General features: G+C 41.4%; 1 protein-coding gene across 26 annotated transcripts in view; it reads right to left on the bottom strand.

Moving 5' to 3' along the window:
- Window positions 1-6,383: 6,383 nt before the first annotated feature.
- The window catches only part of RAPGEF4 (Rap guanine nucleotide exchange factor 4), a 317,576-nt gene continuing 307,492 nt past the window's right edge, over window positions 6,384-16,467 (bottom strand). For all 26 annotated transcript variants that reach the window (NR_164739.1, NR_164740.1, NR_164741.1 and 23 more), the window contains 2 exons: window positions 10,623-10,677; window positions 6,384-7,637 (listed from right to left, as the gene is read on the bottom strand). Coding sequence is in view for 23 of the 26 variants with exons in the window: in XM_047443030.1 (XP_047298986.1) it covers window positions 7,510-7,637; window positions 10,623-10,677 (183 nt within the window). In the remaining 3 variants the exon portion in view is untranslated. The remainder of the gene's footprint in view (window positions 7,638-10,622; window positions 10,678-16,467) is intronic.

The following is a 16,467-nucleotide window of genomic DNA, read 5'->3' as shown; positions in this document are numbered from 1 at the left end:
GACAGGCATCTGACAGAACTCGTAAACTGCCCCTCTAGCCCAAATCAATTTCAATGACTTAAAGCCACCATATAACTTTCTCTCCTTTTTCATCCTTTCATAATTGGTTTGGCTGAACTCTCAGGCATCCTTCAATGTTCTAAAGCACCTCTTTCTGTGGCCTCTCATTATAGCAGAGAGGCAGGAAAGGCACTAATATTTCTTGAGCACCAAGCACTCAGTATGCCAGACACTTTCTACACCTTCACTCATTTAGGACTCCCCCCAGCTTTTGTGAGGCAGGCGTTGTCATTCCCATTGCCAGATGTAGAAAATGAAGCTCAAAGAGATAAAATACCAAAGTTCACAGCTGAGGGCTATCACATTACAACAGTGTAGGCCACGGCACACACAACAGGAAGCCTGGTTGAGGAGGAGCTCTCTGTGAGGCAGTACCAATGGAGAGAAGGGTTGACTCTTGCCTAATACACACAAAGTTGCTGTCTATACTGGAGGTGGCCCTGATTGAGTCAAACCCAGGTCTACCTGATCTTCAAGCTGGTTATCTTTCTGCTGGTCCTGCTGCTTCCCCAAGAGCTAATAGAGTCACCCTGGAGAAGCACTTTCAACAGCTGGCTGCACCACGCCTGAAAAGCTCTCCCTAAACAAGAACAGTGGACCTTCCAGCCACTCCCCTTATGTGCTACCCTCACTCTAGTAGATGGTTTGTGAAAATGGCAACAGCTTTCCCCTCCTTATATTCACAACTTTGATGATATGACTTGGTTGTGCCAGACATCAAGAAAGAGAATTGTTTCTCCACTCTTTGACTCTTGGCTATCCTCTTGACCACTTTGGTCAGCAAAGTGCTGCAGAAGTCATAGTGTCTTCTTGGAGCACCAGTTCTGACCTGGGCCTCCAGAGCTCTTGCTTGTCCTCTTGCTTCCTGGGAACACTTCCCAGCCAACAAGTGATGAAACCCAGGATAGCTGGTTGGAGAGTGAGAGACTATATGGAACAGAGACAAGTCATTCCTTCTGAGGCCATCCTAGACCAGCTGACCACAAATGCATGCCTGAGTCCAGCCCTGATCTGCTAAGTCTGGCTCAGATGGCAGAACTGTCCAGTTAACCCATCAACTCATGGTTCATGGTTGTTGATTGAAAGCTTGTGGTTTTAAGTCACTAAAATTTGGAGTGGTTTATTATACAGTGTGATGGCTAATTTTGTCAAGTTGGAGGGTGTTTTTAGATGAGATTAACATTTAAATTGGTGAGCTGTGGCTAAAGCAGACTGCTCTCCATAATGCAGACGGGTCTCATCTAATCCATTAAAGGCACCTGAATAGAACAAAATGACTGGCCTCCATCAGCAAGAGAAAATGCTCCAGCAGACTCTGCCTTTGGACTTTATCTGCACCACCAGCCTTCCTGGGTCTCCACTTGCCGGCCTTCAAACTGGAACTGCACCATCAGCTTTCCTGGGTCTCCAGGCTGCCAGTCCACATGGTGCATTTTGGACTTGCCAGTCTGCATAATCATGTAAGCCAATCCTTTATAATCTCCCTTAAAGCTCATTCTATTGGTTCTATTTCTCTGGATAACCCGAATACACACAGCAATTGATAAACTCACTGATATCACTGAACAACCTCTTTCTTTATTCTTCTAAAGTTACCACAGCTTGGCTAGTGCAGAACACGTTCCCCAAGAGCTTCTGTGTCTCCTTACCTCAAGCGCTTCTCCCTGCTGGGGAGACTGAATCATCAGTCTGTCCCTCTGTCCTAAAGTGTCAGGACTCCTTCCTGAAATCGTCGATTCTCCTCCATTCCTGACAGGTCCTTGATGTTATCACCTGGAGACTTTTGCCACCTGTCTCTGGCTAAGGAAATAGATGGAGACCTGATGCAGCTTTTCCAGTCCTCTTTTTGTCTCAGGTGCTGCAAAAACCTGTTCTGAAGAGGTTTACACCAACTTTTGCTCTCATGTTTCTCTTGTACTGGTCCTCCTATTGTAGAATTCCACTCTTCCTGAGTTTTCTCTGGCTAGGAAGAGTCAGAACCCTCCCAGAGGAGGATGCAGGAAGAAGACTGGGATGGAATCAGGCGGCTCTCACATGCCCTGGCTCTAGGCTCTCTTTCTTCCTCAAATCTGGAGGGAAATGTCAGAGCCCATGAGCCCATAGTGCCTTGTGTTTACTTCCCTTTAGAGCAGGGCTTTGGCCCCAATCCTTCCAAGGTTGAATTGTCCCAGGAACAAAGATCCTGGCTTCCTGTAGCAGCATCCTTGACCTTCCCTAGCTGCCTGAAAAGCACATGCAAAGGAGCCCGAGCAAAGCGACCACATTTCCCATTCCCACGCCCTTATTCTCTGGGGGTTAGAAACATTCCCTTCACTCCTCCCATCCTGCAGTGTAAGACCACAGGCAGCAGGAGTGTGGTGCATCAACCCACAGGGCAGCAAGGATGGACAGAGGTTCTGGGGCTGTGATTGTCTCATGAGCTGCCCTGGCTTGACAGATGGGACACTGGCAAATGAAGCCTCCCTGCTCCTTGCTTGGATACCCACACACTGAGCCCTGGGTCCCCTGCCCACTCCTTCTCTCAACAGCTGTGCCATACATTGGCAGCTTCGGAGATGATGCAGGTAATTACGAGCTATGTCCAATGTAGCCCATTAAATGGTACAGCCACTGTAGAAGACAGTATGGCAGTTCCTAAAAAAATTAAACGGAATTGCTATACGATTCAGCAATCCTACTTCTTAGTATATACCCCAAAGTATTGAGAAGTTGGGACTTGAACAGGTGAATGGACAAACAAAATGTAGAATCGACATAAAATGGAATTCTATTCAGCCTTAAAAAGGAAGGAAATTCTGGTACATGCTACAATTTGGATGAACCTTGAAAACATTAAGCTGAGTGAAACAACCCAGACACAAAGGACAAATATTGTATGATTCCACCTATATGAAGTCCCAAAAAAGGCAAATTCATAGAGATAAAAGAATAGTGGTTACCAAGGGCTGGAGGAAAGGAAAAATGGGGAGTTAATGTTTGATGGGCACAGAATTTCAGTTTGGAATGTTGAAAAAGTTTTGGAGATAGATAGCAGCAACGGCTGTACGACAAGGTGAATGTACTAAATGCCACTGAATTATTTGCTCAAAAAGGCTTTAAGTGGTAAATTGTATGTTGTATATCTTTTACCACAATAAAAAATTAAAAAGTGGCCCAGTGTGGACTTAGTCAGGAGAAGGGATGATGTTTGTCTGTATGGGTGTCTGGGTCCACTACTGCTTTTGAATGCTTGCATTCTCCACAGCTCCCTCTGCTCTACCTTTAAGCCTTCATAATAAAGTAACTAAGGAATTAGGGATGGCCCTTACCAAGTGTCCTGGGCAGTGTGGTACACAGAAAGCAGTGGCCCTGCCGTTCAAGGGCTCACCATTGGAAATGCAACGCCCTGCCTCAAGCTCTTCAATGACTTCCTACTCAAAGGTCTGCATAGGCCTTACATGCTCTGAGCCCTTCTTAGCTCTCCAGCACATCTGGAAATGCTGTCTCCTTCGATCTCCATTAGCCACAGTGAGCTTGCTGTCCCTTATTGCCAATGTTACTTTCTGCTTAGAACACATTCTCCTCCTCTGTCTTAGCCAGCACTCACATCCTTCAGAGCTCAGCTCAACTGTCACTTTCACAGGGAACACTTCCTTGCCTCCGATCAGGTTAAATTCCCTTATTACATGCTCTTGCAACACCATATCCTTCCTTGGAAGCATTCTTTTTTTTTTTTTTTTTTTTTTGAGACAGAGTCTCACTCTGTTGCCAGGCTGGAGTGCAATGGCGTGACCTCGGCTCACTGCAACCTCCACCTCCCAGGTTCAAGTGATTCTCCTGCCTCAGCCTCCCAAGTAGCTGGGACTACAGGCGTGCACCACCATGCCCAGCTAATTTTTGTATTTCTGGTAGAGACGGGGTTTCACCACATCTCTTGAATGGTCTTGATCTCTTGACCTCATGATCCACTCGCCTCGGCCTCCCAAAGTGCTGGGATTACAGGCGTGAGCCACTGCGCCCAGCAGGAAGCATTTTTCTATTTATTTGTTCACATCATTTTTTGGTTACCTGAACAGGGACCTTCTCTAGTTGTCCTCACCATTGAATTCTGTGTCCACAGAGGGCACTCAGTAAGCACTTCAGTCATTATTTTCTATGAATGAAAATGAATGAATGAATGAATAGAAAAGTGACTAACAATACCTAAGTTAAAGGCTTTTTTCCAGTTTAGAAGTAAGGGATAAGGTAACTGTTCATCTAATACCACAATTTTCAATGTAGGACAGATTAAGATTACTCTAAAGCAAGAGATGTAATGCATTCTAGATTGACAGTAAAAGGAAAGCTATTCGAGGTAGGGGTTCATTTTACCACACTGCATATTCCAGGCTTTTTTTATTATTATTCGGAGCACAATTTGAAACTAAAATGACACTCTGTTTAATTTTCTCACACTGGTAGTCATTGATCTGCATTCATACCTTCAGAGGAAATGCCACTGAATTCAGGAGGAGTATATTTAACCTGCATGGTATTCAAAAATTGCCGGAAGAGCTTAGCTCCCATAAACTATGCCAGTGACCTTGCTAAATAGGTATGTTAAACACTCAAATGTATAATTTTCTACAGGCGCTTTTGGTAAAAACATTCTTCTTTTTCACATCTTCCAGCAAACCTCATTATCCTTCTTGTGACCCTGTAGGCATCTCATTTTCTTTTGGCTTGTTTGCAAGTTTTAAAGTATTAACTGCATCTCCTGCCTCAGGAAGGGTTGCTTGGCTACTACTCTACATTTTTAGAGTGCGAATTCTATTATTTTACCACTGCTACCTTCAAGAATGGAGTTTGATGCATTTTCAAAGAAGCTAGAAATACTTAAAAATGTCTTATCTTTATTAAGTACAGTAAGTTATTCTCATGTGGAAGAACAAGGGGAACATACATGGGGAATATGTATTAATTTTGAATAATGTTGAAACTATATTAAAATAAGATCGTAAGTTGGCATTCACCATGGAATTGGGGAGAAGTGCTGCTGTATATAGAATGCTAGCTTTCAGTAAAGTAGGAATAAAGACAAGCAAAACAAGAGCAAGGATGCCCCAGGAACGGGCTCCCAGCTTCGTTCATCATCTTTGTAAATTATCTAGAAAAGAAACTATAAAGGATATCTAAAGGAAAATATATAAAAGTGGAACCTTTGCAGCTGACATTGAGGTCTATCAGATAGTGAAATACTGAACGATAATGATTTCAAGAAAATTTATTCAGTGACCTTCTTTTATTGTCTAGTAAATCCCAGACACTGCACTTGCCTCCAGAGGCAGGTGTAATACCGCAGAAAACACCGCCTCTGGTTCTGGGGACCCTGAAATTTTATATGAATGAACACAGAGAGGCATTTGCCTGCTTTGGCATTTCTGAAAGTGGACTTTAATTGTGGGATGTTAAAAGGGATTACAATAGGACTTCTCAGAGCCTTCAGTGTGAGTGAATACTGGGAATCATTTCTATGAATGGGGTATATTATGCAGTGGTCCCCACATTTATTTGAAGATAGAATCTTGGTTTTGTTTTTGGCTTTGTATGTGTGTGTTTGTTTTTGGAGGGACAATATGTGAACTTGTGAGACTAGAATAGGCTGGAACACACTCTGGAAAATGCTGACTTATTAAAAAAAATAGAGGCATGTCTGGAATTTAAAGAATTTTGGATATCTCTTCATCAAATATTTGCTAAGTACTTAAATCACTGAGAAATGGCATGAGGCCCCACACAAGGGAGCTCTAAAATCCAGTGCCCCTTCAGAGCAGCAATGCTCCTAATTGCCGAAAAGTGAACACAACAGACAAATGTCTGTCAACTGATAAATGGATAAACAAAATGTAGTCTATTTATAGAATGGAATATTACATGGCCATAAAAATAAATGAAGTACTGGTACAAGCTATAATATGGTCAACCTTGAAAACATTATGCTAAGTGAAAGAAACCAGACGCAAAAGGCCTCATACTGTATGATTCCACTCATATGAAACATCCAGAGTAAATCTGAAGACAAAGAAAGCAGATTCGTGGTTGCCAGAGGTTGGAGGGAGAGGAGAAGAAGAAGTGACTGCTAATGAGTTCAGAGTTTCTTTTAGGGATGAGGAGAATGTTCTGAAGTTAGATAGTGATGATGGTTATCTATACAACTTTGTAAATATACTAAAAATCACTGGATTCTGCACTTTAAAAGAATGAATTTTATAATATGTGTATTTTGTGTCATTAAAAGATCCAACACCCCACCATACCAAATGGTTACCCCTTTCATATTATAGGAATTGAGATGAACACAACCATTTCTTGTCGACAATTATATTTAGTGAAGATACTAGATGTTATTTACAGAAGATATACATACATACAATTCCTACACATTAAATGTAGTCTAATTGTGAAAACAGGAAAAAATGTACTTCAAAATTACGTACTAAATAAAATAAATAAAAAGTAATTATTTGGCACAGTATCTATTATGTAGCAAATAAATAACTCCATACCATTGATTGAATGAACTATTTACAATCTTTGAAAGTGCAAAACAATTACTGAAAATTAAGATATTTGTAATAACATTTAAGTCCAGAAAATATGTTTTCATCAGGTACAATAAATTTGTAGCCAATAGTAAAGGTTTTTAATGCCCAGGAAAATATTTCAATTTTGAAAAATGTTTTATGCATATTGTGCTCTTCTGAAATGTTATTTTCTACTTTAACGCTGGCAAATTTAAGAATCTTGGCATTTCTTAGTGGAATTCTTATGTATATAATCCTGATTTGTAAATTTTGAAAAGTTACATTGTAAACATAAATATTATTCTATATACATTCAGAAATTACAGACCAGTCCTCCCTAAATTACATAAACAGCCATAATGTTTCATAATAATGTGGTCAGGTTCTATTCCTTCAGAGGTAAGACAATGAAGATGGAAGAATACAACCTATAATTTGGACTTCTATAGATTCCTCAACACCTTCCCGAAACCCCAGGCTCCAAATCAAGATGTTGAGTTAAAATTTTATCCAAATCTATCCCATTTGTAGCACATCTCATCCCATAAACACTCTTAGAAAAAAATGTCAGGGGCTTGCTAGTTCTCTTGACAAGGCTATTTCTACCAAACTCTTCACGTGGGCCTTATTCAACACTTCAGCAAAGAAGATGGCACAAGTGGAAATGAAACAGGGTAGCCACAAACTGGGGATTCCTAAGCTAGAGTGTGTAAGCTTTAGGCATGTCAAATAATTCCTTCTCTTGCTAGGTAGCTGGTAAGCTGAATGCAGCCCTGAGGTGTCTCAGGATGTGTTTTTGCTTGTTTTGTAGAATTCTCTAGTGGCAATACAGTCAGTAGTAGCATAAATGGCATTTTTGAAAGATTGTGGACTGGAGACAAACTGTTGCTTTGGGCATTTGAAATGTCTATGGTCGACGAGGCTCTAATCTGTGTGACATCTGTGATAAAGTTCTCTGGTTGTCAATCACATTTAATTGCCGTACATAACTCCGGACATCCTGATGGTTCTTATTAGCTTGAGCTGCATCAGGATCTGTTGAAAGAGGAAAGGGCAGAATTGGCATTGTGTAATATATGTATATAAGATACAATCTTACTTCTCCAATTATTTATTACATTTATCATAGGTTCCTGGGTTCCCTCAAGACCTTTCAACACACCACAATCATTGAAACGTTTCCACTTGGTTGTTCCATCTCCTCCTTCCTACCCTCCAATTTTCTTTTCTTCCCTGGAATCACCTCTTTTGATCATTCTCCTTTGAATTGCACGTTGTAAAAAAAAAATGGCACCAAATTAAAAGGGAAGCATGTGTCTGATAGCCCCTGGGTATAGATTAAAATTGTTTCCCTTTCCAGAGGTCTCTGTGTCTCACACTCTGTGTCTCTGCCTCCTTTGATCCAGATGAAGACTAATGTCAAAAGACAGTTTTTATTAGCCCCTCACAAAAGCGCTTAACATCTGGGCCAAACTGAAGCAAGCCAGTGAGACTACAGAGTCCTGACTCCCCTCTTTACTTGCACACAGTATACAGCATTACTATACCGACTGTATGTTCTTAGAGACTGTCCATATTCAGAAAAAACCCAACTCACAGGCTGAAGTTATGACTTCTGCTAGACGTTTGATTCTTTAATGCTATCTGCTCTGAAAACTCAGCTACCATTCTATTCTGATGCACATCCCAAGCATGTGAGCAACTGAGGTTAACCAATTTAATGAAGATCAGGGCTGAATGATGAGCCAATGCACTCAGCCCTCGCAGGGAACATACATGAATAAGGAAAGCCAGACCAGAAGGTGGTGAACTGGAAACACAGGTCCCTCTGGAAGTGATGACCTGGCTTCTGCATGTTGCTGCCACGGGGAATCTGTGCCTAGAGTTGCCAGATCTTCCTTTTTTTTTTTTTTTTTTGTTAAGAAATGGGAAATCTGGATTTCTTCTTCGTGAATTCTCCCAATTTTAAAATGGTGACATTATTTCAAAATAAAAGGGAAAAAAATGCTCTCTTTAGACCCAACACCTCTGTGGGCCACCTCCATTTCAAGCATCACTGGGTAGGGCCTCTGGTCTAAGGGGACACCCGGAGTGGCAGAGCCAGACCCTGGCTCCTGACCGGGGTTTCCACCACAGTACACTGCCTTCTGCAGTCTGGTTGCTCCTGCTAGATCCACACAGCACTCCCAAAGACAATTAGAATGCCATCTGCACAAGGGGTGAAGGGGAGTGTTGCAGGTCTGAAGGCAGAAAAGCAGAGAGAAGACATACATGCCCCTGCCCCCTGTGAGAAGAAACTCATCAGTATAATTATCACATAGAAATAATACCACAGCGAACTGCAGAGCACATTGTGTTTAATTTCCTCTGCTTCTCACTGGCAGTGTACTCTACACGTACAATATACTGTAATTACATTGTACACATTCCCACAGTGTTTGTGAATCTATTCCTATAGCTTTATCTATAGATTGTTGACTTCAGAGCTGAGCAGCTGTTGTTTACCAGCAGTTACTGATAACTTCAACAAATGCAGTGGAGTTTTTTCTTTTTAAATACATTTTCCCCTTGGCTTCTCTAGGAGGTGACATAGAAGAATGCAAGATTTACTTCCAAAGAAGCTCATAAAACAAAGCATATTATTTTATGGTTCTTGAGCCTCACTGAAAACCTTCTTAAGGCTATAAACCCCCTCAGGCACACACGATTTGGCATATAATTTCAGGGTCCCCTTTTATCCCCGCTGCTGGATTTGGGATTATAAACTCCGGTTGTAACTGGTGTCACTTATCTATTCTTGTTTCCACTTGTACAACTGCTTTATGATCACATCTTTAAACACAACGTAAATTAATAGATGAAAACACATGAGACACTTTAATTCTGGCTGAATCCACATAAGAATAGTTGATGATATTGCAAGACTATTCACATTTTGGAAGTCAGAGAAGGCACAGTCATTTGAATCAGTTGCTCCCCAAATCAATGTCATTTTTCTTATATTTTTCCTCCCTATTCATTAAAAAATGAACATTTAGTAGTTCTGGTGTCCCATGTTAGCAAATCTGGCCATGAGCCAGTCCTGCTCTAGGAAGAACAAACAACTCTGACTAATAAAACAAGAACATCATAGTCTCTTAGCACTCGGTTTATTGGAGGAGACGGTACTGGTAGCCTCAGATTCATGTCTATGTCATAGTATCATATTGAGTTAATGAGATAAATTTCTTCAAGTGAGTCATACAATGAGCTTAGCAAAAACCTTTAGTGTTCACCTTCTCATTTCCAGACCAGATTGAGGGAGCCAAAGCTCCACCCCCACCACCAAAGTCCCAGCCCAGAAGAAACAGTAGCACTGGTCTAGTATGACCATCTGGTGCTATGATGCAACTTAACTCCCAACAGACTAAAATTGTTATTTATTATTAGTAATTTTTTTATATTAAAGTATTATACCAGTTCTTGTGATAGATGTTCAGATTTTAAAAGAGCACCTCAAATTCATGTGGGAATACTAGAAATATAATATGAAATCCTGTTTTTGGACCTTTTACGAATGTGCTATAAACATTAATGCATTCTTGCAACACCCTGAAAGACAATAAATATTATCTTTCCTGGTTTATAATTGACTGAACTGAGTCATCAAGGGCTGATGTGAGTTTCTCAACATGGAGCAATGAGTCATAAAGAGAGTTGGTTTGAGGCAGGATTTGTTGGCAGTCGTACTTTAGTTGTCTCCAGCTGCACTGGATAGAGCAAATTAAATCTCTTTAAATTCATTCACAAAATAATATTCCTATGGTGATTTTCTAGTTTCACAACAATGTAAATATGTTCTAGTTTAAAACAGCAAAAAAAATCTTTAAACTCAAGGCCCCTATCTCATGGAATTCATGGTCCAAAGTGTCTCTGACACAGTCAGATATTTCCCAGGCTCCAAGGGTGTCTCAATGGCCTCATTAAGAAGACCTTAATCACCAACATCTACATTGTAAGAGGTGGCAGCACTTAACTTACTGAAGGGTTGGCTCCTGTAGTATCTCACTGTTCTGGCCGTATTTGCAATCATGCGCTAAAAGGAATATAGAAAAAAGAAAGATAGAAATTCAAGTAAGCGTAGAGTACAATCCAAAAAGGAAAACAAACCATTTCTGCAATACTTGGTACCATGAGAAGTGACATGTTCTGAGATGTTGACTATCTGAAGGCAACTAGCTGATGTATAACTTGTTTAATTATTTCAAAGGGGTACCCACATACATACAAGGCATTTTCAGGTAAGGAATATTAATGGCATAACTCTCATAATTGTTGGCATATTCCCCATGATGTAAAAAACATCTATCATGCCTGAGACTGTACATTAGTGCTTTTTCACCATCCTTTCTTGAGGTTGCCATGAATTTGTAAGAGAATCTGTAACTATCCTAGATGTGGAGAAGGGTTAGCTTATCAAGTTCCTCACAGTAAATAAGACTCACTAATGAGGTATGAGATTTTATTGGCTGAACAGCAAGTCAAAATATTCTACCTTCACATTTTTGCTACACACTCTGTATTACTGACCTCTCTAATCTTCCAGCAAAAGTTTGCATTTTAATGTTAATCCTGATGATTTGATTCCCTCCTTCCCTCCCTTCTTCCTCCTTTCTGATTATAACACTAACATATACACATCTTAGAAATTCAGAAAACAGGCCAGGTGCAGTGGCTCACGCCTGTAATCCCAGCACTTTGGGAGGCCGAGGCGGGTGGATCACGAGGTCAGGAGATCGAGACCATCCTGGCTAACACGGTGAAACCCCCTCTCTACTAAAAATACAAAAAATTAGCCGGGCGTGGTGGCAGGCGCCTGTAGTCCCAGCTACTTGGGAGGCTGAGGCAGGAGAATGGCGTGAACCTGGGAGGTGGAGCTTGCAGTGAGCCGAGATCGCGCCACTGCACTCCAGCCTGGGCGACAGAGTGAGACTCCGTCTCAAGAAAAAAAAAAAAAGAAATTCAGAAAATACAGAAAATGTTAAGAGCAAAGTAAAAATCACTTAGAATATTACTTCACAGAGTAATCTTGTTAATATTTCGGCATATAGCCTTCTTATATTTAAAAATATATAAAAACATGTTTTTAAAAGATTTGAATTCATATAGTACATACATATTTTATTTTGATTTGAAATTTTTCACATTGCATTGTGACTATTTTCCATGCCATTTGCATTTTAAAACATTTTTTAAAAAGCATGTATTCAACCAAATGGACAGATTATAATTGATTTGACCTTTTAAAATTTGGTCACTAAGTGATCATCTTAACTTCTTTGTAAAGTTTTGGTTGCAATAAAGACTTAAAAGGGAATCTTTTGTGCTGAGCTCAATTAAAAACAAAAGAAAAGAGAAAAGAAAATGGACAGAAACAGAGACTCCTATCCCCTGGGGAAAAACACTGATGAGACCTACGCTCCATTTCTTAGCCAGAATGTCACGGTATTTGAACAATAGCTGGCACTCCTGGTCACTATGTATGTTTCAGGACACTTTACTGCTCAGGCTCTAAAGGGGGTCCTGTGGAGATAATAGATTAATTACAACACTAGCAGAAAATTGATAAGGCTCCACCCAGGGAAAGAGACTCCCCGATCTCTGAGCAGCTATGTAATTCTAGTCAACCCTTTCTTCTCTCACGGACCCTTGGCTTGCCAAAGTATAAGAAAATGACTTTGAGAAAGCTTACATAGTGTAAAAAAAAATCATAGATGAGTCAAGGCCTTACAAATATATTATCTGCAAGCATCATAATACCTCACTGAATACTACTGCTTTGAGGACTCTAGCAAGCCTGAAGTGACATGTACCTGCATTGGATAATTTCGCACACAAAGAGGCAATTGGAAAAGTTAGAACTTCACTTCATCAAAGATCGTGAAAACTGACACATCCATCTGTTGATCAGCATGAGAAACATATCACAAATCCCTCCCAGAAAATGTAACGTACAATGTATAATTAGCCCTTGATATATGGAGCCGTGAAATAAATAGTAACTATGATAACTTCCCTGCTAATTTACTTTTAAGTTGTTTTTTCACTTCTCTAAAGGCTTTGCATCTGAAGGGCACAAGTATATTCCATGTAGAATTATTGTAATTCTTCAGATATTGAATGGAGTGTAATTACCGAAAACCCTGGGAAATGCTGCCAGTATGCCCCTCTGAAGAATAATAAAACAATTAGCAGGGGTCAGAAACCTCTTCCTATACCATTTTGTAGGGAGTAATTGTTCTGCTTTTTAGTTTTGAAAGCTAAAACATTTCATTCTGACTTTGGTTTTATGCTACTCTTTAAAGCTATACTCTGAGACTTCATAATTTTTAGCTCATGTAGTTTAAAATGTGAGAACAATTGTTTAAATCAGTAATTTCCAGCCCTGAAGTTCATTCTACCTTTCTAAATCTTTGATTAATTTTAACAATGGTTTTAATTTTGACGTATCCTTTTTAATTGTTCTCAAAGATAACTTCAGTTTAACTTCGAAATCCAAATCTGGCTTCACAGCGAGGTCCATTCTTTTCCTTTGTGAGGTCCGGACAATAATGTTTAATGGTGTGAACCCACAGTGATGATGTGTGAATCTAACTAGCATTCCCGGTCAATGCATAGTTACAAATGCTTTCACAAGGCCAAAGAAGGGTTAACTTAATATTTTAACTTCACCTCCTTTTGCACCCATTAACACATGTAATATTAAGCAGTTACTGACAACTACACCCAACTACAAGGCACTCTCCTGAGTTGCTGAAAGAGACTTCAGGAGTCACCTCCTTGAACCATCTCCAGAGTGCATAATGCTTTTTCTACAGCCTGCCTATAAACAGTGGCTCTCCCACTGTTTGAATGCATCCAGCAATGAGTAACTCATTACCTCCAAAAATAGCCTGTTTCATTGTTAGACATCTCTGATTATTAAAACTTATCATTTTGAGTTAAAGTCTTTCTCCTTTTACTTTTCGCTCATTTATCCTTGGAGCTCATAATGCATTTGCATAAGACTCCCACGGGCACCATGACAGTTTACAAATGCCACGGCAATGACCCAACAGCAAACATGTTTAATTTCTTTTTAACAGGACAAGTCTTCAAATACTTGGATATAACTGTTATGGATATCTTCACACCCCCAGATCTTTTCTTGTTCAGCCTAAATATTCTCAATTTCTTCAACAATTCTTCATAAGACAGTTTTGGTTCTCTTCCAAACCGTCTCTAGTATGGTGCCCTAGACTAAACAAATTGTAAAGTGCAGAGAAATTATGATCTTTCTTCTTTCCTTGATCTAGATGATGCTATACTGGGCCTACAGTTAAAAAGAAGTCATGCCACTGACATCTGTTGAAGTATTCATGAATTAAACCTCTCAGCCTCCTTTGCTGAGCTGCTGTGGATGCAGCTTTCTGCTCTGTGCACGTACAGTTGATTTCTTGGACCAGAGTGGAGGATTTTAAAAACTAAAACCATCTAGTTAGAGTCTATCTTTCCACAAACTTCAGCCTATGTTATTTTTGACGGTAGACAGCTGTTTATTCATTGGTGCTCGCAGTCTAGCCTGGCAGAAACAAAGGTTAAAGAGATATAGGGTTCATTATCCAACTGCTGCAGCAGGGGTGAAACCAAAAATTACACCCTACGCTTCATGGTCCTGCCAGAGCAGGTTGGCCTGCCTGGAGCTGGCCAGGCAACTTTCTATAACGCCAGGCCGGAGTGGGGGAGTGTCTGATTACTCCAAAGCACAGATTCTCATCTTTTTTTCCCCAGTAGCCAGCCTGAGGTTTATGACACATTCCCTTGAGCAAATAGCTCATTAAGACAGCAACTGGTAATTCAGGAGTAAATGTGGGGCAAACATGCCCCACATTAGAGCGCCTCCTTTAGAAGGCGCTCCGGATCCGTGTAGGGGAACAAATTGAACCCCCCTGTCGCCACGCTTAAACTGATGTTTCTTGGGACTAATCCTAAGTACAGGTCTTCGGAGCTTATGTGCAAAAATGAATATGTTCCTACAGTTCGTGGCCTACAGGGCTTAGAGATGGGCCCAACTGAAAGCTGATGAATTCCCCTCAGGACATGCACTCGAGGAGGGAAGTGCAGAAAGGAAAAATGATGTGGTGAGTGAAGAACTCTGTGACTATGTCACGCGTCTATTTTTCTTTAGAGCTGAAAACAGAGGGGCACAGAAGTAGATGTCCTTCCTGGGGCCTGCGTTGCAGAGTGGAGGTAGAAGATCAGCAGGATTTGTTTTCCCAGCCTTGGTCACCACCCTGCTGATGTAGCAAAGAAACCAGCCCAAACCAGCTAGGACTAGGAATTATAATGCATTTGCATAAGACAATACTCACCCCCCCTCCCGCCCCCCGGCGCCATGACAGTTTACAAATGCCACGGCAATGACCGGGAAGCTACCTTAGATGGTTCCAGGAACTCCTGGCCCCTTTTCCAGAAAGTTTGTGAAAAACCCGCTCCTTAGTTAGCATGTAACTAGAGTAGGTATAAATAGAGCCGGCCAGCACTCTGTGAGTGCTACTCTGTGCTACCCTGCCTATAAGACAGCGCTGCTCGGTCTACAGAGCACTTGTTTTCCTGTATACTGTTCCTCTCATGAACTTGCTGTCTTTCATTGTCAGCTCGCTCTTAAATTCCTTCCTTAGGAAAGCCAAGAACTCTCTCCAGCTGAGCCCCAATTTAGGGGTCAGCCTGCATCAGAGTGACCAGTACAAAGACAGCATCCAGAGGAAGGGGTGACCACTGTCTGCACCTCGGCCTGGCACAAGCCAGAGGCTCTGAGGCCGGCATCCCAAACACAAATTTCCCTCAAGCTCTGATGCAGGGAATTTCCCTTGAGTCCGCTGAGGTGTCAGAGGTACCTTGTTCTCAGACTGGGCCTTTGCGGCCTGGCTCTTGGCAGGCGTCACCCTTCTGTGGTGTCCTCCCCTCAGGAGCAGGCCAGCCAAGTTCCACTTTCACTCCTATAAAGACATGACATAGCCTACCAGGACTTTGTGGCTGCCCCCACCTTCCTAGCCAGCTTGCACTGACTCTTGTGCCCTAGTCCAAGTTCCCCCTTTGCTCTCCCACTGCGGAAGAGAAGACTTCATTCTTCAAGTTCTGACCGGCAGGCCCTCCAGGCCACGCCACCTCATTGGTACCACTCTAGGACCTCCCGCTCCCAGACAGCGGCCACAATAGCCTTCCTCTTAGCCTATTATTCTGCCTCTGCTCAGATCCCTCAGGAAGCGGCTCCTCACCGTCAGGCCTCTTCTAAATGCCTGCCCTCAACAGTTTTGATCTTCCTTCTGTTGCCCCTTAAGATCTGTACCATCCTTGCTCTTAATGTTTGCCAGATTGCTTTTTCTTACATTTCTGCCTCTACCGATTTGATTCTGTCTCCAGACCTATGCCTATCAAATATAGGACCTTTGTTAATTACTCCTTGCTTAGCATGTGTAAAACCACATTTACACCATTTGATTATTTCACTCAGACCTCCACATATTTGGGACAAGAATTTTTTTTTTCACAAGATCCAGAAATACACAGTGTCTCACCTAACAAAGATTGTGCCTGTGATAGCAACCAAATGGCCAGGCACAGTGAGGACCAGAGATAAAAGGGAATTGAAGCTGAACTAGCCTTCACTGTGTGCATCATTGAGGAGGAGCCCTGAGTCCGGTCTCCCTACAGATCTTTAGTATCCAAGAGGTGTATGACATGCAGATACGCATGTGTAACACATGCATGATGCTTACGGTATGTGGTATATATGATGACCATGGGAGAAGACAGTTCAGGTGCCTTTCCAGGCACGTGTAGAGCA

Source organism: Homo sapiens, chromosome 2 (assembly GCF_000001405.40).
Source record: "Homo sapiens chromosome 2, GRCh38.p14 Primary Assembly".
In the NCBI taxonomy this organism is placed as follows: Eukaryota; Metazoa; Chordata; class Mammalia; order Primates; family Hominidae; genus Homo; species Homo sapiens.
This window is presented reverse-complemented; position numbering and strand designations above follow the sequence as displayed.